Source organism: Homo sapiens, chromosome 22 (genome assembly GCF_000001405.40).
Source record: "Homo sapiens chromosome 22, GRCh38.p14 Primary Assembly".
In the NCBI taxonomy this organism is placed as follows: domain Eukaryota; kingdom Metazoa; phylum Chordata; class Mammalia; order Primates; family Hominidae; genus Homo; species Homo sapiens.
Window position 1 is genome coordinate 22,422,691 of NC_000022.11, and position 23,174 is coordinate 22,445,864.

The 23,174-nt window shown below is 44.7% G+C and overlaps 1 pseudogene, 2 gene segments (V, D, J or C) and 1 further gene; all 4 read left to right on the forward strand.

The window, feature by feature from the left end:
• Positions 1–23,174, forward strand: part of IGL (immunoglobulin lambda locus) — an 896,838-nt gene that overhangs the window by 396,615 nt on the left and 477,049 nt on the right.
• IGLVI-38 (immunoglobulin lambda variable (I)-38 (pseudogene)) lies at positions 3,298–3,588 on the forward strand (annotated as a pseudogene). The gene is given in 1 exon segment: positions 3,298–3,588. A coding segment is annotated over 1 exon segment (291 nt).
• IGLV5-37 (immunoglobulin lambda variable 5-37) lies at positions 4,855–5,345 on the forward strand. The segment is given in 2 exon segments: positions 4,855–4,900; positions 5,023–5,345. Coding segments are annotated over 2 exon segments (369 nt in total).
• Positions 9,308–9,775, forward strand: IGLV1-36 (immunoglobulin lambda variable 1-36). The segment is given in 2 exon segments: positions 9,308–9,347; positions 9,469–9,775. Coding segments are annotated over 2 exon segments (347 nt in total).

The window sequence follows — 23,174 nt, forward strand, 5'->3', positions numbered from 1 at the left end:
AGGGATGAGCAAAAAATAGACAAGTAATGGATGTGAATTGGCCTAGGAAATTTACAGTGGCAATGTCAAAAAGGTAAATCAATAGTTATTTGACAATACATGCTCAGTCCAGGAAAGCCACCAGGGGGCGGTCTGGGTCGTCTGCATCATAAGAAGCTCAAGGAGTTCAAACTGAATGAACCCTGCACAGTTGCTCACTGGGTCGTGTAAAATGTTAGAGCAGCTGCTTCCTCCCGCAACACACGGCCACTCTGGGCAGTCCCCTCACAGTGTGGCTGCTCTCAGGGCTGAGAACCTGGGTGGTGCTAAAGGTGGTGAATGTGGTAAAGATTTGCATAAAGCACCACACAACACACCTCCTCCACACAGGGATCTCAGTAGCATCTTCAAAGGATGGGCTTTCTGAGCTAAGAGCAATAAGAAGAAACTTTCTAAACTTACTAAAATTTATTTATTGAGTTATGTTCAAAGCAATACATGCCTATTACATAAAATCAGAAAGTATTTAAAATCACCGAGTCCTCGGCAAAGGTTCTTTATTCCAAGCAATCAATATGACTATTTTTTTTTATTTGGATGCATTCTTTCATTTTTGTTCTCAGTATTTCCACAATGGTGATCAAGCCTTGTGCTTTTTCATCTGCTTTTATACCCCTTTATGATCTAGTCATTTCAGGTTAATGTAAGTAGTGTTCCATTTCTTAAAAGGGATAAAATATTTAAATAGTTGCTAATTTTATTTTTATTTGAATACCAATGAAATATTATCATTTTTAGATAATTCTTATTGTTTGCTACTCAAACGAAGATATGATATTATCTTATTATTAAAACACTCCTGGTAACTTCTGTGGATTTTGTGAGGTCAGAAAAAAAATGCCTGAAATTTTCAGTGGAAAGCCTTGAGTACATTACACCTGACTTCACAATGCAGTAAATAGAGAAACAAGAGTTTCCGATTCATGTAAGAAGGAGCATAACAGATTAAGGTATGAGGAATAATTTATATCCAAAACTACACCAGTGTCTCCAGGCATGTGTTAGAACAGTACCCCCCAAATTCTGTTGTGCATATGCATCTTCTGGGGATTTTACAAAATGCAGATTCTGATTCAGTGGCTCTGGAGTGAGGACACAGTCTCTGCATTTCTAGAAAGTTCCTACCACACAAAATCCACATATATGTTTGAACAATAACAAGGCCAGCCAGGAGAAGAGGCTCAGGTGTGTAATCCTAGCACTTTGGGAGTTTGAGGCAAAAGAATTACTTGAGGCCAGGAGTTTGAGACCAGCCAGGGTAACGTCACAAGATCTTTTCTCTACAAAACATGTTTTTAAATAATAAAAAATGAATTAGCCAGGCGTAGTGTGGCATGCTTGTCATCGTAGATACCTAGGAGGCTGAGGCAGGAGGGTCGCTTCACCCCAGGAGTTCAAAGCTGCGATGAGCTATGATTATGCCACTGCACTCCAGCCTGGGTGACAAAGTGAGACCTTACCTCTAATAACAAAAACAGCCATAACAAATTCATAAGAATAGTGTAAAATAAGGAGAAACCTTGGCAGACAATAACCTAAGAGATATCTCAGACATAGTGAACTAATGTGTTTGGATGACAGAAGAACCCCACACTTGGCTGGCTGTGGTGACTCAGGCCTGTAATCCCAGCACTTTAGGAGGCCAAGGCGGGCAGATCACCTGAGGTCGGGAGTTCCAGACCAGCCCGGCCAACATGGAAAAGCCCCGTCTCTACTAAAAATGCAAAATTAGCCGGGCGTGGTGGCGCAGCCTGTAATCCCAGCTACTCGGGAGGTTGAGCCAGGAGAATCACTGGAATCCGGGAGGCGGAGTTTGCGGTAAGCTGAGATGGAACGAGCCACACTCCATGCAGGAAGACGACCAGGGAGGACAGCTGCAAAGCAGGGAGAGGCTCCCCTTTCTTTAAGAAACAAAACAAAAGCAAACAAACAACTAACCTGACCTCCCCTCTGGCTCCCATCCAACATTCTTACTAGCTTCTCATCTAGTCTTTTCTGTAGTGTAGCCCATCCTTACCCTCTCCCCTCCCACATCTCTGATTCCTGAATTCCCTTCTTGGGTCTCTCTCCTTTTCCTGTCAACCACTTCTCCCCTCTATCATCCTGAGTTAATTATCAAGAGCTTTATAGCAGGAAGCCTATTGGTATTTTTCCAGATTTTTTTTCTTGGAATTGGACATTCATACATTTTCTCTCTTTTTTTGGGGGGGTAGGGTGGGGTGGGGGTGGGGGTAGGGACAGGGTCTCACCCTGGTTGCCCAGGCTGTGGTCTCAACTCACTGCAACCTTCACCTCCTGACTCAAGCAATCTTCTCAGCTCAGCATCCCAAGTAGCTGTGACTATGGGCACGCACCACCACACCCTGCTAATATCTTGTATTTTTGGTAGACATGGGGTTTCCCCATGTTACCCAGGCTGGTCTTGAATTTCTGAGCTCAAGTGATCCACCCTCCTCAGCCTCCCAAAGTCCTGGAATTACAGGCATGAGCCGCTGTGCCCAGCCTATTTTTTCTCTTTTACGAGCCTCTCTGATTCCCTAGTTCTGAAGTAGCCCAGAGTTGGCTGATTCTCCTATTTTGCCTCAGCTAGCACTTCCTCCTTCTCCTTTTTTTTTTTCTCCTTCTGATCCCTGGAGTCCTCTGCATTTCCACTGAATCCAGTGAACCACACAAGCATGCTCATTTATTCTCCCCAAACTCCACCACTCTGCCTTATGTGCTGATCCAGTGAGAATCAAGAAGGAAGAGAGACCCATGGATTTCTGTGCAGCCTGGAAAGTCAGTTCATGGCTGGACTTGGCTGGGACACCAGACACCTGTCTCCCTGTCTCTATTTAGTATTCATAGGGCCCAGCAGCTGCATCCTCCCAGGGTGCCTGAAGAGTCACTGACCATGCTCTCCTACCCAGCCTCAAGAAGCCACCCAGTCCTCGAGAAGTATAATCAGACTCAGCATCTTATGTGAAGGGAACAACCATGGGGACAGGTTAGACTTGCATTGAGTCCCCTCCTCTAAGAAGGGCCAGGGAAAAGGGGCTGTTCCCCCTAATCTGTGTGGCTCAGGAAGTAGAGCTCCAGAGACTTCTCTACCATGGCCTGAATCCCTCTGCTGCTCACCCTCCTCAGTCTCTGCACAGGAGGCTGGAGATAGAAAGGCAGGGACTGGCACTGGGAGGACCAGGGCTCTGCCTTGCTCCCCCGGCTCACCGAGCCACTTCCCACACCCTGTGTCTCTGTCCTGACTCTTAGGGTCCTGGGCAGTCAGGGCTCACTTGGTGGCCTGCACAGTTTGTCTGTGACTAAACCAGCCACCATCTCCTGCACTGGAAACAGCAGCAATAACGTCCTTGGAATTGTGTCCTGGTACCAACAATGAACAGGAAGTGTCCTTAAACCTCTGATCTGTGGATGTAAATATCCACCTGCAGATCCAGAACTGATTCTTGAGTGATCAGTCTGGCAAGGAGGCCTTCCTGAGCATATCTGGGCTCCAGGCTGAGGACAAGGCTGATCATTAACGTTGGATTTGGACAGTTCTCTGGAGGCCCCCACGGTGCTGCAGTCTGTGGGGAAGTGAGATGGGAACATTTCAGGTCTCCTAGGAGCACGACCCGACAGCACCACCTACAACTGGGAAAACTGGGCTGTTTACCATTTGTGTTCATGTTTGCTTGGGCTGGTGCTAGCCAGGGCCCAGGTCTCAGGTCAGGGACAGTGATTTAGAGAATGCAGCTTTGTTTCCTCAGAGTCAGCCCTCAGAGAAAGCCCATAGCAACAGCATTGTCAAATTGCCTCAAAAAAAATCAGAAAGTCCTTGGTTCCTGGAACAGGCTGCCCTAGGAACAGAGCCCAAATCGGTCAGAGCAAGCAGGGACACAACTGTGCAGAAAACAACAAGTTTTACTTAGGGAGATAACGGTTGACTGTATAAAATGAGAAATATGTCACACTACTCACTTGTAAAAGTAAGTTTACCAATGCTATTCATTTCCCTATATCACTACGTTGAGTAAAAACTCTAAAATGTATGAAACCACTGTAGAGATAACTTTTGCTGAATTGCTACTTTAACATGTCATGGATCATTTATTTTTCTTGCAAAATTCTCATTATTCACCGTCCTTTTGAGTAACCCCCAGCTGCCCTTCAACCTAGCTCCTCAGCTGACCTCTTCTCCATGATGCCTACCCTGATGGCACATGTGGGCAGTTAGGTTTTTCTAGATTTTAAAAGTTATATATGTACATGTCTACATCCCATGGACCAAGACTCACTCTGGGAGTGAGAAATCACAATAATCATGCATAGCCTTATGGAATTAGTGTCTAGCAATCAGACCATAGAGGTGTGAATAGAGACAGTGACTAATGAGCTGCAGAGATCAGCTGGGCCATCAGGAGGTAAGTGTCCTCTAACCAGCATGGGATGCTGGGGGACTGCCCTATGGTCCCTACACAGCTGCTCAGTAAGGACCATTCACTCAAAGAAATCCAAGACTAGGGGCTAAGACCCCGTGCTCACTGAGGGGTACTTAGCATCTATGTCCTCCCATGGCATGGCAGAGTCCCCTGAGCAGGAAGGTGTGTATGGTTTCAGTAGGTGCTTTCTTCCGGAGCCCTCTCAAGGGGAAAAGCAAAACTTCTTCCTCCTCAGTCTGCAGTGTGAGCTGAGCTTCAGCCCCAGAGCTTAGAGAGGGGCTGGGCAGTCCCTGGATGAAAACACATTTGCATGAGCAGCCCCTCCTCTGCAGAGTATGGGAAGAAAAGGAGGCCTGGGGCAGCCCAGTCCCACTGTGCATGTCAGGCTGTGTCCACCATGGCCTGGACTCCTCTTCTTCTCTTGCTCCTCTCTCACTGCACAGGTAGGGACAGGCCTCAGAGATCAGGGCCAGCCACCCAACCTGATTCTGGCTCTTCTGGTAAAGATCCCTGAAAAACCTCACCCTGAACCCTGCCCATCAACCATGAGTGTCTGTGTTTGCAGGTTCCCTCTCCCAGCCTGTGCTGACTCAGCCACCTTCCTCCTCCGCATCTCCTGGAGAATCCGCCAGACTCACCTGCACCTTGCCCAGTGACATCAATGTTGGTAGCTACAACATATACTGGTACCAGCAGAAGCCAGGGAGCCCTCCCAGGTATCTCCTGTACTACTACTCAGACTCAGATAAGGGCCAGGGCTCTGGAGTCCCCAGCCGCTTCTCTGGATCCAAAGATGCTTCAGCCAATACAGGGATTTTACTCATCTCCGGGCTCCAGTCTGAGGATGAGGCTGACTATTACTGTATGATTTGGCCAAGCAATGCTTCTCACAGTGACACACACAGATGGGGAAGTGGGACAAAAACCTCACCCTGCTTTAGGTCTTGTTCTTAAAAAATTTTAAATTTTAAAATAACTGGCCTAGGCACAAACTACATTTGGAAGTACTTTCTAGTTGTAAAAGGCTCTTCTCTCAATTTCCCATCCATTCGTCTGAAGTCTCAGTAAAACAAAACAAAACCAAAGCAACTGATGACACTGAAGTCTTGGCTGGTTGTCATATGTGCTAACACCACTGCCTGTGGAGCTGGACTTTTGTTCTTGAAAGAAGCAAAATGAGGCTTTCCTAGCTCACATCATGGTCAGAGCCTGGGGACATCCTAGCAGGTGAACAGTGCCCTGCAGCATGGACTCTGCTCTTCCAGCGTACGGGCAGAGACCTCCCCTTCCATCCCCAGTAGTCTGTTCTCAGGGCTGTCTGTGGCTCACTGTGTCCCAGGAACAAGGCACTCAAATATGAAATGCTGCCTGAGGACACAGGTCAGGGAATTCTAGATATAGTGCTGACCTGGCTCAGTCCTGGGTACCTGCATTTCAGTGGCAATGTCAGGAGATGGGGTTAGGTATTAGGGTAACTGGGGACCTGAGACCAGTAAACCTCTATGTAGGACATGACAGGAGAGTCAAGGGGAGGCTCCACTGTGGCTGAGACAAGCCAGAGGCTGCTCCTTGGCCACGGGGGAAGTAGGTCCCATGGATGTGACTTTCCTGCAGCTCATCCCACTCAGGACCATGGGGACTGCTGAGCGTGGGTTTCTTGATCCCTCAGCGCCTGTGTTCTCTTCTCCTCTCTTACACCATTGGAGCTTCTTGCTGAATCAGGGTCTAGTGGTGAGTATGTGGAAAGACCACCACATCTCAAGGTCACCTTTTTCTGCATGGGGAGCAGCAGAAACATTGGGCATTCCCGTGGAAATGGCTACGGAGGCCTCCCAGAAAGAGCCCCCAAGTTTATGACCTAGGACAGCAGTGATGGTCCCTCAGGGGTCCCAGCCTCATTCTCCTGCTCTGGGTTTATCCACACAGCCTCCTGGAGCACCTCTCGGCTCCAGCCTGAGGACTGGCTGGTTATCAGTGTCACACAGCTGCATCCTGACTCCATGTTACCAAGGGTTCCTGTTCCATGTGGAAATGAGAGAAAGATCTCCCCACTCATCCTGTCTCCCCATCCCTCCTTTATCCCTGCCTGTGACCAACACCAGTTCATGCCAAGACTTCGGCTGTCACTTGTGTTACTGAAGCAGAGCACAAGTTCAGTAAAAATAATCCCTTTTCTTACTGGTCTCCCAATGCAAACAGAATCAATTTGTTTCTAGAAGCAAAAGGAGCTGCCCACACATGGTGGGTGGGGATGAGGTAGGGACAAGAAAGAATCCACCCTGTGTGACCCAGAGGCCCAGAAGCCTTTAGTCTGGTTCCAAAGGTGTCTCCTCCTCTTGGTGCAGTTATGCTGACCATTTCCTGAGCTCAGAAACTGTGCGAGAGATGCCAAGAATGAAGAATCCAGCCTGTGTGACCCAGAGACCCAAACGTGAGACAGGAAGTCTGATGCTTAAGAAAACGTGGGTTCAGCATTCTGAAAGGTCTAGATATGGCTTGGCCTAGAGCTGGTGTAGAAGAGAAGCAAGAGAGATGCTCAGCCTTAGGTGGCCCAGGCACAGCGGTCCTGTCAAGGGGTTGAGCTCTCTGCAACATGGATATCCTGCAGAGACATACTTGGGAGGCTGTGATCCCAGAATGACACAAAAATGCTAATGGAAATGAGCAGGGGATTGTTTATGGGGGAATGGGGAGACAGGTGTGGGATAAGATGTGGTAAGGAGAATGCAGCCTGAAGAGGAGACTGTCCATTGTGACTCATAGGAGGAGTAGGGCCGGGGCCTACAGTAGTGATAAAAGGAGGACCTGGAAGGACCTGGGCCCTGAAGACACACAGAGACTGGAGTTTTGGTCTGTCTGTGAGGGTCCCATGAGGATAAAAATCCATGGTCAGTGTCCTCTGTCCAGGGCTCACTGTCCCAGCTGTTGTCCCTCCTGGATCCTCTGGGTGTCCAGATTCCGTAGCTGTGGACCTGTTCTCCTCTCTGTCCTCAGCCTAAGAGCTGATGGGGCATCCACCAGGAAGCACATCTGTGGGCAGGGAGGGGGCCATGGGCAGCCTTGTCCTGTATGTGAGGCACTGCTCAGCCTCGGTGATCCCTGTTCATTAACGTGGGAGGAAAGGAAAACAAAATTCACTGTGAACATCTATGCATCATCAAAGAAAAAGCAATGAGCCAAACAGGAAGTGAAGCCCAGCTCTAATAGTTTGTTTCTACTTGGAAATAAATAAAACTTAATATGCCTGATGTGTTACGTAAATGCAATAAACATTTTTTGAAAGCTATAAAAATTATGTAAAGGAACATGGCTTACACTAAAAGGAACACTTAAAATAATGACACCCTTGAAATGCAATCCCAAAACACAGCATACATTTTATTTCAGTTCCATATATGGACTGGTTTTATTTAAATGTCTATATTAAATCTCACTATTCCATTTTTAAATGGAGCACTTAAAATCTCATTCTACGGCAACTGCCTGGTGATACATTCACCAGTGGAAATATCAACAAAACCATCCAGCTGTTTTCCTCCATCCCCATAGAATTCCCCAAACTAGTAATTATTAAGAGCCCAGGATGTATCATGCCAGAATTCATGCAGTCATAGGCATAACCTGTTTCATTTTTCATTCTGATCAACAGAATTACAATTTTTCTTAAGCTTGTTTTTAGCTTATTAGATTCTAGTTGTCATTACAGATCAAAGATAAATAATTTTCTATCATCCTTAAGCCACCCCCATAACACTCACTACTGAATTTGAACCATAATTTTTCCCTAAAAATCCTAGTTGGGGTGCTTGATGTTGAGAGCTAACACGTATCAGGCTCACCTGAGGACAGACTCTGGTTAAACCAAGTTAAAATTTTAATTCTTCCCATCTTCAAAGACTGAGCATCTTTGCTCTTTTTGTTCATAAGTGAAACACTCCAAAGTCATTTGCCAGGATCCCCTGCAGATGAGCATTTAGTGTACAGACTCCTAGGCAAGATCCCTGGTCACAGTATCCAGATGACTATGACTGCAAATCTGGGGAAGTAGAGGGAGAACAAAGATTTACCAGGAAAACCCTCTGGGAATTCCTCCCCAGGGAATCCTAGAGGAAAGAGCTCCCTTTCTCCTCAGCGCCACAGGATCCACAGAGGAAGGAGAGCTCTAGCCACCAGGAAGGAGCCACATGAGAGGAGAGGACCTGGTGTCCAACACAGGTGGGGAGGTGAGTCCATGGGGCTGGTCCCTGCTATGGGCTTGATCCTGACATAGGACTTTATGTAGATACCACCTGAGTCCTCTACAATGTACAGCCAAAGAGCCATGGAAAGATTCACTCCTGAGGAGTCTGAAGACTCCTCAGTAGAGCGTGAAGATAGCCCTGAAGTCACAGGGAGGAGACACAGACACCACTTGGCCTGCCTTGGACCTGAGAGAGGGGGCAGTGGACAGAATGGGGGGAGGAAGCCATGTATCTGAGAGGTTCTGGTCACCTTATCATAGAATGGTTTACCTTGATCTGGACACCAGAGGGCGCATGGGGATCATTCCTGAGAAGACAGGGGTGATCAGAGCAGAACCAGCCGCCTGCCCTGCCTGGTGTCCTCTGCTCAGGGCTCACAGCTGTGTCCTCCCCACCCCCTGGGACCACAAAGCTCCACCCCTGCCACCCCCTGACATCCTCAAGCCAAGGAGCCTGACCCAGGGCTCAGGGTGGGGTCACAAACCTGGGGGGGGTCTGATTTGCATGGATGGACTCTCCCCCTCTCAGAGTATGAAGAAAGGGAGAGATTTGGGGGAAGCTCAGCTTCAGCTGCGGGTAGAGAAGACAGGACTCAGGACAATCTCCAGCATGGCCTGGTCCCCTCTCTTCCTCACCCTCATCACTCACTGTGCAGGTGACAGGATGGGGACCAAGAGAGAGGCCCTGGGAAGCCCATGCGACCCTGCTTTCTCCTCTTGTCTCCTTTTGTCTCTTGTCAATCACCATGTCTGTGTCTCTCTCACTTCCAGGGTCCTGGGCCCAGTCTGTGCTGACTCAGCCACCCTCGGTGTCTGAAGCCCCCAGGCAGAGGGTCACCATCTCCTGTTCTGGAAGCAGCTCCAACATCGGAAATAATGCTGTAAACTGGTACCAGCAGCTCCCAGGAAAGGCTCCCAAACTCCTCATCTATTATGATGATCTGCTGCCCTCAGGGGTCTCTGACCGATTCTCTGGCTCCAAGTCTGGCACCTCAGCCTCCCTGGCCATCAGTGGGCTCCAGTCTGAGGATGAGGCTGATTATTACTGTGCAGCATGGGATGACAGCCTGAATGGTCCCACAGTGCTCCAGGCCCAGGGGGAACAGAGACAAGAACCCCCTTCCTTTTCTGCCAGGAGGGTGAGCCCCGGCTGCTGCTGCTCAGGCCTGGCCTGTGGCTTCTGCTGCTGCAGCTTCCCCCATGGGTCCAGGGATATCCAGGGCCCTGCCTGAGAGTGGAGGCTCCTCCTCCCCTGAGTCCTCAGAGTCAGGAACAGGGTGTCCAGAAAACAAAAGCAGGGTGTCCTGCTCCCTGTAGCTTGGGACACAGGGTCTCTGCACTGAAGTCCTGGGCTGAGGTGGCAGGTCCAGCTGTGTCATCACAGACCCACTTCTGTTGGGGAACCTGTGTCTCCATCATCCTACTTTTTCCATTTCCAGGAGTTTCCAGAGTGGTGTCTTCCTCCCCCTTCTCCTCAGTGTGAATCCCTGTGCTTCCTTTCTCTCCAGCCTATTCTTTTTTTAATAAAACTCCTTTCATGTAGGAATAATGCACATATAATAAGCCACCCATATTTACAATAGGGAATGAGACAAATTTTGGCATTTCTATGGATCCTTGAAAACATCACCACCACCGGGAGCTATACAACATACAACCTGTGACCAACCCCAATAGCTCCTCATGACCCTTGTCACCTCATTCCCTCCCCCAACACCCTCCTTGGAAGTTGCAGATCTGCCTCTGTCACTACTGTTTGGTTTCTCTTTTCTGGAATGTATCAGTGTTATCAAACATTATCTTCCCATTTGTTCAGGCTTCTTTCACTCTGCACACTTCTTTTGAGATTCTCGCTGTTGTTGCTGCATTGTACCCATCTCGTAGAGGGCTCCTTACTATCTTTGAAGGTCCTTAGGCCATTTTTTTCTGATTTTATTTATGTATTTATTTTAAAGTTTGAATTTATTGTGCATCCAAATCAAACTTTAGGGGCAATGTTCATCTAAGGTGACAGGACAGTCTGTGATGGCTTGTCGGGATTCTTGCTTCTTCATCTCTTGCTTCTGATTCTCTCTATAGTGGAAGAGGTTCTCGTCTTTCATTTATTTATATATTTATTTATTTACTGATTTATTTGGGTTTTTAAGGGTTTTAGTGATTTTTCTCTTTTTGGTTATTTTTCAATTTTTTTATTTTAATAGGTTTTTGGGGGACAAGTGTTGCTTTGTCACATAAATAAGTTCTTTAGTGGTGATTTCTGAGATTTTGGTGCACTCATCACCCAAGCAGTGTACACTGTACCCAATGAGTAGTCTTTTATTCTTCACCCCCCTCCTACCCTTTCTCCTGAGTCCCCAAAGTCCATTGTATCATTGTTATGCCTTTGTGTTCTCATAGCTTATCTCCCACTGATGAGTGAGAACATACAATGTTTTGTTTTCCATTCCTGAGTTACTGCACTTAGAATAACAGCATCCAGTTCCATCCAGGTCGCTGTGAATGCCATTATTTTGTTCCTTTTATGGCTGGGTAATATTCCATGGTATGTGTATGTATACATCACATTTGCTTTATCCACCTGTTGATTTATGGGCAGTTGGGCTGGTTCCATGCTTTTACAATTGTGCTGCTATAAACATGCGTGTGCAAGTATCTTTTTTGTATAACGACTTCTTTTTCTCTGGGTAGATACCTAGTCGTGAGATTGCTGGATCAAAGGGTACATCTATTTTTATTTCCTTGAGGAATCTCCACACTGTTTTCTGTAGTGACTGTACTAGTTTACCTTCCCACCACCAGTGTAAAAGTGTTTTGTTTTCACCACATCCATGCCAACATCTATTATTATTTTTATTTTTTGATTATGGCCATTTTTGTGGTAGTAAGGTGGTATCACATCGTGGTTTTGACTTGCATTTCCCTGATCATTAGCGATGTCAAACATTTTTCTATATGTCTTTTGTCCATTTGTATATCTTCTTTTGAAAATTGTTTATTCATGTCTTTAGTCCATCTTTTGATGGGACTGCTTATTTTTTTTCATAATTTGTTTGAGTTCTTTGTAGACTATAGACATTAGTCATTTGTTGGATGTATAGATTGTGAAGATTTGCTTCCACTCGGTGTGCTGTCTGTTAGCTCTGCTGATTCTTTTGCTGTGCAGAAGGTTTTTAGTTTAATTAAGTCCCATCTATTTATCTTTGTTCTTGTTGCATTTGCTTTTGGGTTCTTGGTCATGAAGTATTTGTCTAAAGTAATGTCTAGAAGGGTTTTTTTAATGTTATCTTCTAGAATTTTTACAGTTTCAGGCCTTAAATTTAAGTCTTTGATTCATCTTGGCTTGATTTTTGCATAAGGTGAGAGATGAAGATCCGGTTTTATTCCTCTACATTTGGCTTGCCAATTATCCCAGCACCATTTGTTCAATAGGATGTCCTTTTTCCACTTTATGTTTTTGTTTGCTTTGTTAAAGATCAGTTATTTGGCTCCATTTCTGGATTCTCTATTCTGTTCCTTTGGTCTACGTGCCCACTTTTGCACCAGTACCTTGCAGTTTTAGTGACTGTGAGTCAAATTATGCTAGAGTATAGTTTGAAGTTGGGTGATGTGATGCCTCCAGATTTGTTCCTTTTGCTTAGTCTTGCTTTGGCTATGCAGGTCTTTTTTGGTTTCATATGAATTTTAGGATTGTTTTTTCCAGTTCTGTAATGAATGATGGTGATATTTTGATGGGAACTGCATTGAATTTGTGGATTGCTTTTGGCACCATGATCATTTTCAACATATTGATTCTACCCATTCATGAGCGGGGGATGTGTGACATGATTTTTTCAGCAGTGTTTTGTAGTTTTCCTTGTAGAGGTCTTTCACCTCCTTGGTTGGGTATATTCCTAGGTGTATTTTTTTGCAGCTATTTGTAAAAAGGTTTGAGTTGTTGATTTGATTCTCAGCTTGTTCACTGTTATTGTATAACAGAGCTACTGATTTGTGTGCCTTACTTCTGTATCCTGAAACTTTGCTGTATTTATTTACCAGTTCTTTTTTTTTTTTTTTTTTTTTTTTGAGATGGAGTCTCGCTCTGTCGCCCAGGCTAGAGTGCAGTGGCGCAATCTCAGCTCACTGCAAGCTCCGCCTCCTGGGTTCACACCATTCTCCCACCTTAGCCTCCCGAGTAGCTGGGACTACAGGTGCCTGCCACCATGTCCGGCTAATTTTTTGTATTTTTAGTAGAGACGGGGTTTCACCGTGTTAGCCAGGATGGTCTCGATCTCCTGACTTTGTGATCCGCCTGCCTCGGCCTCCCAAAGTGCTGGGATTACAGGCGTGAGCCACCGTGCCTGGCCATTTATTTACCAGTTCTAGGAGATTTTTGGATGAGTCTTTAAGGTTTTCTAGGTATATGATCACATTATCTGCCAACAGCAACAGTTTCACTTCCTCTTTACCAATTTGGATGTCCTGGATTTGTTTCTCTTGTCTGATTGCTCTGGCTTAGACTTCCAGTACTATGTTGAATAGAAGTGGTGAAAGTGGGCATTCTTGTCTTGTTCCAGTTCTCAGGGGAATTGTTTCCAACTTTTTTTTCCTTTCAGTATAATGTTGACTATGGGTTTGAAAGAGTGGGCTTTTCTTACCATAAGGTATGTCTCTTCTATGTCAATTTTGCAAAGGCTTTTAACCATGAAGTGATGCTGGATTTTGCCAAGTGCTTTTTCTGCATGCATTGAGATAATCATGTGATTTTTGTTTTTAATGCTTTTTATGTGGTATATCACATTTATTGACTTGCATATGTTAAACCATCCCTGCATCCCTGGTATGAAACCCACTTGAACATGGTGGACTATGTTTTTGATAGCTGTTGGATTTGGTTAGCTAGTATTTCATTTATTATTTTTGCATCTATGTTCATCAGGGATATTGTTCTGTAGTTTTCTTGTTTTGTTATGTCCTTCCCTCATTTTGGTATGAGGGTGACACTGGCTACAAAGAATAATTTAGGAAGAATTTCCTCTTTCTCCTTCCTGTGAATTAGTGCATTAGTCAGGGTTTTCTAGATGGACAGAACTAATGGAATCTGTATATATATAGCATGATCACAACATCCCACAATAGGCTGTCTGCAGGCTAAGGAGCAAGGAGAGCCAGTCCGAGTTCCAAAACTGAAGAACTTGGAGTTCCATGTTTGAGGGCAGGAAGCATCAAGCATAGGAGAAAGTTGTAGGCTGGGAGCCTAGGCCCATCTCTCTTTTCATATTTTTCTGCCTGCTTATTTTCTAGCCATGCTGTTAGCTGATTAGATTGTTCCCACCCAGATTAAGGGTGGGCATGGCTTTCCCACCCACTGACTCAAATGCTAATCTCCTTTGGCAGCACCCTAACAGACACACCCAGGATCAATCCTTTTTATCCTTCAATCCAATCAAGTTGACACTCAGTATTACTCATCACAAGTCCACCCCTTGTCAACTTCAACCCATATATATCTTCTGAGATCATACATAATCTTCAAATAAAGACAATAATAAGGTCATAATGACACCTAACATAATACAACTATCATTCATACAAACAGAAACACATCAATCCCCAACCCAAATACTGTTACATAAAGTTAACGATACTTAAACGCTGATGTGAAGTCAATAAATCTTATGTCACATGATAAAGGAGAAAGGAAATAACATGAAGATATTTTCTTAGGACAAAGGTATACACGCACAAACATGTTTTTAACAAAAGAAGGAGGAAATACTCATGACAATTACACTCCTCGTTTCTGCAGCTGGCCATAGCTGGTATTGATGATTACTTTCTTCTACTATCCATTCTGTATTCTGTATTCCCTTTGCCTTCAGCAAGCACCTCAGCAGGTCGTGGATATTTTTCCAGATGGTGTGATCCAAATCTTCATTCCTGAAGCATCTGGTTCATTTGTAGTCCTGCCTGGATAGGGCTGTTTTAGTTTTCCATGGACCTTAATCACAGGGCATGATAATACTAAGAAATGCCCTAATGGATCTCCTGTATTCCATGCATACTCTTCCTTACCTCCGTTATGGAGTAGTAAACTGATTTCATCTTGATAGTCTGTCCCAAACACCCCAGCCAACACTGTAACTCCCTTCTTAGCCTGTTGACTTAAAGGTAGGAGGAGCCCAAAGTGTCCAGGTGGCAATCTTAACTTCCCCAGTTTAATGGAATCATTGATGTGTCTCCAAGTGGCAGTGTTCCTTCCTCTGGAACTAAATCCTCTAAGCCAGCAGAACATAATGTCGTGGGAACAGGAAGCAAAAATTTTGCTAGTGGATCACTAGGGGTGATGGTGAGTGCTGCCACTTCCACTTCCACCCCTTGATTCCTAGACTCATGAATCCTGGCTATGGGAGAAACAGTGCCATATATTGGATGCTGACTCAGAGCATACACGCCTTCTGGGGAACTTAGCCCCAGCACTGCAAAGTATTGTCACCTAGTTGACATTGTAATTGTGACTTCAAAAGGCCATTCCATTGTTCTATCAATCCAGCTGCTTCAGGATGATGGGAAACATGGTAAGACCAGTGAATTTTATGAGCATGAGCCCACTGCTGCACTTCTTTATGAATAAAGTGAGTGCCCTGGCGAGAACAATGCTATGTGGAATACCAGGATGGTGAATAAGGCATTCCATGAGTCCACGGAGGATGGTAGTCTTACAGGCAAACCCATATCTGGAATAAGTGTCTATATCAGTGAGGACAAACCTATGCCCTTCTCATAATGGAAGATTTCCAATATAATCAACCTTCTACCAGATAGCTGGCTGATCACCCCAAGGAATGGTGCCATATCAAGGGCTCAGTGTTGGTCTTTGCTGCTGGCAAATTGGGCACTCAGCATTAGCCATAGCTAGGTCACCCTTGGTGAGTGGAGAGCCAGTTCGAGTTCCAAAACTGAAGAACTTGGAGTATGATGTTCAAGGGCAGGAAGCATCCAGCACAGGATAAAGATATAGGTTGGGAGGGTAGGCCAGTCTCTCTTTTCACATTTTTCTGTCTGCTTATACTTTAGCCATGCTGGCAGCTGATTCGATTGTGCCCACACAGATTAAGGGTGGGTCTGCCTTTCCCAGCCCACTTACTCAAATGTTAATCTCTTTCAGCAACACCCTGAAAGACACACCCAGGATCAATACTTTGTATCCTTTAATCCAATCAAGTTGACACTCGGTATTAACCATCACAATTAATGTCATAGGATTAGTACTAATTCTTCTTTGAATGTCTGATAGAATTCAACTGTGAATCTGTCTGGTCCTGGCTTTATTTTGTTGATTTTTTTTAAATTACCATTTCAATCTTGCTGCTTGTTACTGGCCTGTTCAGAGTTTCTATATCTTCCTCATTTAATTTGGGAGGGTTGTATACATTCAGAAATTGATCCATCTCCTCTGGGCTTTCTAGTTTATGTGCATAGAGGTAATCAGAGTAGCCTTGAATAATCTTTTATATTTCTGTGGTATCAGTATTAATATCTTCTGTTTCATTTCTATTTGAGCTTATGTGGATCTTCTCCCTTTTCTTGGTTAATCTTGCTAATGGTCTATTAATTTTATTTATCTTTTCAAAGAACCAGTTTTTTGTTTCATTTGTTTTTTGCATTGCTTTTTGTTTCAATTTTATTTAGTTCTGGTCTAATCTTCGTTATTTCTTTTCTTCTGCTGGGTTTGGGTTTGCCTTGTTCTTGAGTCTCCATTTCCATGAGGTGTAACCTTAGATTGTCTATTTGTGCTCTTTCAGACTTTGTGATGTACGTATTTAATGCTAAACATTCCTCATAGCACTGCTTTTGCTGTATCCCAGAAGTTTTGATAGGTTGTATTAAGATTTACTACAACTGCAACCTTACTATTGACCAATAGCTTTTTAATTCCTGAGAGTGTGACCTCATTTATGCCCAAAAACAACTTTATGATTGCTTTTCATGCAGTAGGCCATGATTAGAGAGGGAGTGCTTGTGGCCTGGAGGTAGGGTTCTCCAATTTATCAAATAAAAACATTGGAGTGCAGTTAAATTTGAATTCGGTAAAACAATGACAAAGAATTAGTATGTGTATCTCCCACATGATATTGTTAAATTGAAATACAAATTTACCTGGGTGCGCTGTAGTTTATCTACCAACTCCTCACAGGCTTCGAGGCTTGGAAGAGGCAGTGTTGGGGCTGGTCTCCTCTTACTGATGCCAGGTCTATGAGCTGAACCTCAAAGGCAGAGTCTCTCTAACACAGCTACCCTCCAGTGAGCATGTTAGTTAGCACTAAATACACCATATACGATTTCCAATGAATAACACCTACTCACTTCCCTAATTCTTCTTTCTATTATTCTCCAAGTCTGCAGACTTAGGACCTCCCCAGGGGTTGCTGCAGCCAGAGCTCTGGATGAGGGACCTCATAAGTCTTTCAAAACCAGATGCAAGGGGACTACTCGGTCCCCACACAGTGAGGTTTAAGCCAGGGGTGCATAAGCAACATGTAAGAGACAGAAGAGCTCAGTATGGCTCTTATGGCTCTCCTTCTGTCCAGTGAGAAAACTCCAGGGTCCTTTTGATGCTGAAGGTGGGTGGGCTGAGAGTAGGAGGAGACCCACCCTGACAGCCCAGAGATTCCAGGACAAGACTTGGCAGCCTGAAAAGGGGCCACACTCTTGAGTGGGGAAGAAGGAGGCAACTCTGCTCACAGGCGTGCATTTCTGGTGGCTTCCCCTTTACCAAACTGGACTCCCTACTCTGATGTCTATCAGAGAATCTCCCTCAGTGAGACCAAGATCCCAGGACATTGCTAAAAACAGCAGCATGGACCAGACAGGTATGTCATGGTACAGGAATTCTTTGCAGAGCAATAAATACAACTGCAGCTTAAGAGGGGCCCTCATAGTCATAACTTTGGTGAAGAAGAAAATAGACAAAGGCAGGGAGAAACTGAAGGGCTCAATAGGTCTGAGACTGGGGCAGCACTGGGTGCTATAGGCTTGTCCTTGAGGGGCTGCAGATAATGACAGCTGGGAAGCCATCATCTGTTCACTGCTCACTGGGCTCAGCAGCTGTGTCCTCACAGGGAACCAGATTCAGCCAACCTGGCTTTCTCCACCCCACCTGGGAAATGTATTCCGGTGACTGTCTGGACTGAGGTTCTATGAAGGGGCTAGGAGACAAGAAGAGGGAGACAGGCTGGTTTGCATAAAGAAAGCATTGCACACCCTTTCCTTTCATCTAAAACTCATTAATGGAAACTCTGGGGCCATCCATAGAAGTCTAGCTGGTCTCCTAAATTTGGGAGTTATGAAGGATTCATTCCTGATCAATCTACAGGAAGGGCCATCAGCAGGAGGTGGTCAGAGTGAGGGAGAAACTGGCTTCCTTGAGAGACTCTTCAACACAACCACCAACTCTGGGGCAAATGGGGTGACTTGCTATAACAGTCATCCCAAACTACTCACAGGAACCTGAGCCTAGTCCCCTCACCTTATTGCTTCTGATTCTGGTCCATGCCTCTGTTTTCCCTGGACCCCTTGCCCATGTCTGAGTCCAGAGTGGCAGGGATGGTTCCATCCCAGTCAACATCTACAAAGAAGTCTACATCTACAGCTACTATGACTTGAAGCAGAGTCCACAGTTGTACCCAAGAGGGCCTCTTCAGCTCCCCCACCCCTTCACACAGGTGACCTCTACTGTAGGTCTGGTTGAGTGGCCCCTGGACCCTGGTGAACACAAGGTATTTATTCCTCTCTAACACCAGGTATATAGTGGAGCAGGTCTGGGTGGGTATAGAGCAGAGTGTCTCTTCCAAATGTAATGCAGTAAGACCCTGGCTACAGAAAATCATTTCACAAAACTCCACGCCCTTTCATGGTAAAAACACCCAATGAACTATGAATAGAATGAAACTACCTCAACACAGTAAAGACCATCTATGAAAATCCCACAGCTAGTGTTGGCCGGGCTGGTCTCCAGCTCCTAACCTCGAGTGATCCGCCAGCCTCGGCCTCCCGAGGTGCCGGGATTGCAGACGGAGTCTCGTTCACTCAGTGCTCAATGTTGCCCAGGCTGGAGTGCAGTGGCGTGATCTCGTCTAGCTACAACCTCCACCTCCCAGCCGCCTGCCTTGGCCTCCCAAAGTGCCGAGAGTACAGCCTCTGCCCGGCCGCCACCCCGTCTGGGAAGTGAGGAGCGTCTCTGCCTGGCCGCCCATCGTCTGGGATGTGAGGAGCCCCTCTGCCCGGCTGCCCAGTCTGGGAAGTTAGGAGCGCCTCTTCCCGGCCGCCATCCCATCTAAGAAGTGAGGAGTGTCTCTGCCCGGCAGCCCATCGTCTGAGATGTGCAGAGCGCCTCTGCCCCACCGCCCCGTCTGAGATGTGAGGAGCGCCTCTGCCCGGCCGCGACCCCGTCTGGGAGGTGAGGAGCGTCTCTGCCCGGCCACCCCGTCTGAGAAGTGAGGAGCCCCTCCGCCCGGCAGCCACCCCTTCTGGGAAGTGAGGAGCATCTCCGCCCAGCAGCCGCCCCGTCCGGGAGGGAGGTGGGGGGCCAGCCCCCGCCCAGCCAGCCGCCCCGTCCGGGAGGGAGGTGGGGGGTCAGCCCCCTGCCCGGCCAGCCACCCCGTCCGGGAGGGAGGTGGGGGGGCGCCTCTGCCTGGCCGCCCCTTCTGGGAAGTGAGGAGCCCCTCTGCCTGGCCACCACCCCGTCTGGGAGGTGTACCCAACAGCTCATTGAGAACGGGCCATGATGACAATGGCGGTTTTGTGGAATAGAAAAGGGGGAAAGGTGGAGAAAAGATAGAGAAATCAGATTGTTGCTGTGTCTGTGTAGAAAGTAGACATGGGAGACTTCATTTTGTTGTGTACTAAGAAAAATTCTTCTGCCTTGGGATGCTGTTGATCTATGACCTTACCCCCAACCCTGTGCTCTCTGAAACATGTGCTGTGTCCACTCAGGGTTAAATGGATTAAGGGCAGTGCAAGATGTGCTTTGTTAAACAGATGCTTGAAGGCAGCATGCTCGTTAAGAGTCATCACCACTCCCTAATCTCAAGTACCCAGGGACACAAACACTGCGGAAGGCCACAGGGTCCTCGGCCTAGGAAAGCCAGAGACCTTTGTTCACTTGTTTATCTGCTGACCTTCCCTCCACTATTGTCCTATGACCCTGCCAAATCCCCCTCTGCGAGAAACACCCAAGAATGATCAATAAAAAATAAATAAATAAATAAATAAATAACAAAAAAAAAAAAAAAGAAAATCCCACAGCTAACATCATATGCAATCTGAAAGACCAAAGAGGTTTTTGTAATATCAGGAACAAAGCAATAATGCACACTTTCACCAGTTCTATTAAAAGCAGTATTGGAAGACCTGGCAAGAGTAATTAGGCAAGAAAAAGAAATAAACAGAATAAAAATTAGAAATAAAAAATAAAATCTCTGTTTTCAGATGACATAATGTCATATGTAAAATGCCCTTAAAAGTCCCACAAAAAATTATTAGAATGATTAAATGTATTCAGTAATGTTTTATAATACATAATCACCTTGTAAAAACATCTCATGGCTAGGCATGGTGACTCATGCCTGTAATCCCAGCACTTTGAGAGGTTGAGGTGGGAGGATTTCTTGGGTTCAAGAGTTCAAGAACAGCCTGGGAAAGAAAGCAAGGCTCTGTCTCTAAGAAAGCGGTGGGGGGTGGGGGGAAGAGAGAAAGAGAGAGAAAGAGAGAGAAAAGAAAGAAAGAAAAAGAAAGAGAGAGAAAGAAAGAAAGAAAGGAAAGAAAAAGAAAGAAAGAAAGAAAATCTGTTATAATTCTATACTTAAATAAGCAAACAGGAAACAACTCAAAATGAAATTAAGAAAAGAAATCAAATTACAACATCATTCGAAAGAGTAAAATACGGCTGGGCACGGTGGCTCATGCCTGTAATCCCAGCATTTTGGGAGGTTGATTTGGGGGTATCACCTGAGATTAGAAGTTCAAGAGTAGCCTGGTCAATATGGTGAAACCCTGTCTCTACTAAAATAAATAAATAAATAAATAAATAAATAAATAAATAAATAAATAAATAAAATTTAAAATTAGCTAGGTGTGGTGGCACATGTCTGTAATCCCACCTGCTCGGGGTTGAGGCACAAGAATCACTCGAGTATGGTAGGCAGAGGTTGCAATGAGCCAAGATCCTGCCACTGTACTCCAGCCTGGGTAACAGAGTGAGACAATGTCTCAAATAAACAAATAAATAAAGATAAACGAGTAAAATACTTAAGAATAATATTAATCAAAATGGTGAAAGACTTGTACATTGAAAACTATAAAACATTGCAAAAAGAAATTAATACACAAATAAATGGAAAGAAATCCTTTGTTCATTTATTGGAAAACTCAATATTGTTAAGCTAGGCATACAAACCAAAAGGAATCTACAGATTCATTGCATTCTCTATCAAAATTCCAAGTTAGTATGGAGATCATTAAAAAGTCAGGAAACAAAAGATGCTAGAGAAGATGTGGAGAAATAGGAATGCTTTTACACTGTTGGTGGGAGTGTAAATTAGTTCAACCATTGTGGAAGACGGTGTGATGATTCCTCAAGGATCTAGAACCAGATATACCATTTGACCCAGCAATCCCATTACTGGGTATATACCCAAAGGATTATAAATCATTCTACTATAAAGACACATGCACATGTATGTTTGTTGCAGCACTAGTCACAATAGAAAAGACTTGGAACCAACCCAAATGCCCATCAAGGATAGACTGGATAAAGAAAATGGGGCACATGTACACCACGGAATACTATGCAGCCATAAAAAGGGATGGGTTCATGTCCTTTGCAGGGACATGGCTGAAGCTGGAAACCATCATTCTCAGCAAACTAACACAGGAACAGAAAACCAAACACTGCATGTTCTCACTTATAAGTGGGAGTTGAACAATGAGAACACATGGACACAGGGAGGGTAACATCACACACCGGGGCCTCTTGGGGATGGGAGCTAGGGGAGGGATAGCGTTAGGAGAAATACCTAATGTAGATGATGGGTTGACAGGTACAGCAAATCACCATGGCACGTGTATACCTAGGTAACAAACCTGCACGGTCTGCACATATATCCCAGAACTTAAAGTATATATTTTTTAAAAAGTGCAAGCCAAACAAACAAACAAAAAGAATAGAAAAAAATTAATCCTAAAATTTATATATAATATTGAGAGAATCTAAATAGTCAAAATCATCTTGTAAAAGAAGAACAGTGTTGGAGATTTCACACCGATTTCAAAACATACTACAAAGCTACACTAATCAAAGCAGAGTGGTACATATAGACAGACATACTGACAAATAAAACAGAACTGAGTGCCTAAAAAAACCTCTTAGTTATACAGTCAAATAATTTTAAACAAAGTTGTCAAGACCATTTAGTGGAAAAGGACAGTCTTTTTCACAAATACTGTTGAGAAAACTGGATATTCACCAGCAATCTGGAAATGGATGAAAGACCCAAATGGAAGAGCCAAAACTGTCAAAATCTTAAAAGAAAACATTAGGGAGAAGGTTCATAATATAGGGTTTGGAAATGACTTCGTTAATATGACACCAAAGGCACAGAAAAAAATAGAAAAAGAAGAATATAGATAAATTGGATTTTATCAAATTGTAAAACTTATGGGCATCAAAGGACACTATCAACCGAGCAAACATTTGAATCATAGAATAGGAAAGATTGTCGCAAATTTTGCATCTGATAAGAGATGCAGACTATAGAAAGAACTCCTACCACTCAAGAGTAACTACAAAAATGAAAACAATCTGAATTATATGGGCAAAAAACTTGAGTTCGTATTGAGTAGACTCCAAAGAAGATCTACAAATGGGCAATAAGCACATGGAAAGATGTTCAGCATCACTAATCATTAGGCCAGTGAAAATCAAACCACAATAATATACAACTCCACACCCATTAGGATGGCATTACCAAAATAATAGAAAATAACAAGATCTAGCAAAGACGTATAGAAATTATAACTGTTATGCATTGCTGGAGGGACTATAAAATGATGCACCCATTGTGGAGGTCTTATGGCATTTCCCCAAAAAAATTAAACGTAGAATTGCCATTTTATCGGAATTTTCAGTTCTGGGTATGTGCCTCAAATAATTGAAAGCAGGATCTCAAAGAGAAAATTGTACACCCTTGTTCATAGCAGCGTCGTTCACAATAGCTAAAAGGTGGAGGCAGCTCAAGTGTCATCTAATGGATAAACGGGATACAGTATACACACACAAGGGAATAGTATTCAACCTTAAAAAGAAAGTTCTGCTATTCTGAATAATGCCGCAATAAACATACGTGTGCATGTGTCTTTATAGCAGCATGATTTATAGTCCTTTGGGTATATACCCAGTAATGGGATGGCTGGGTCAAATGGTATTTCTAGTTCTAGATCCC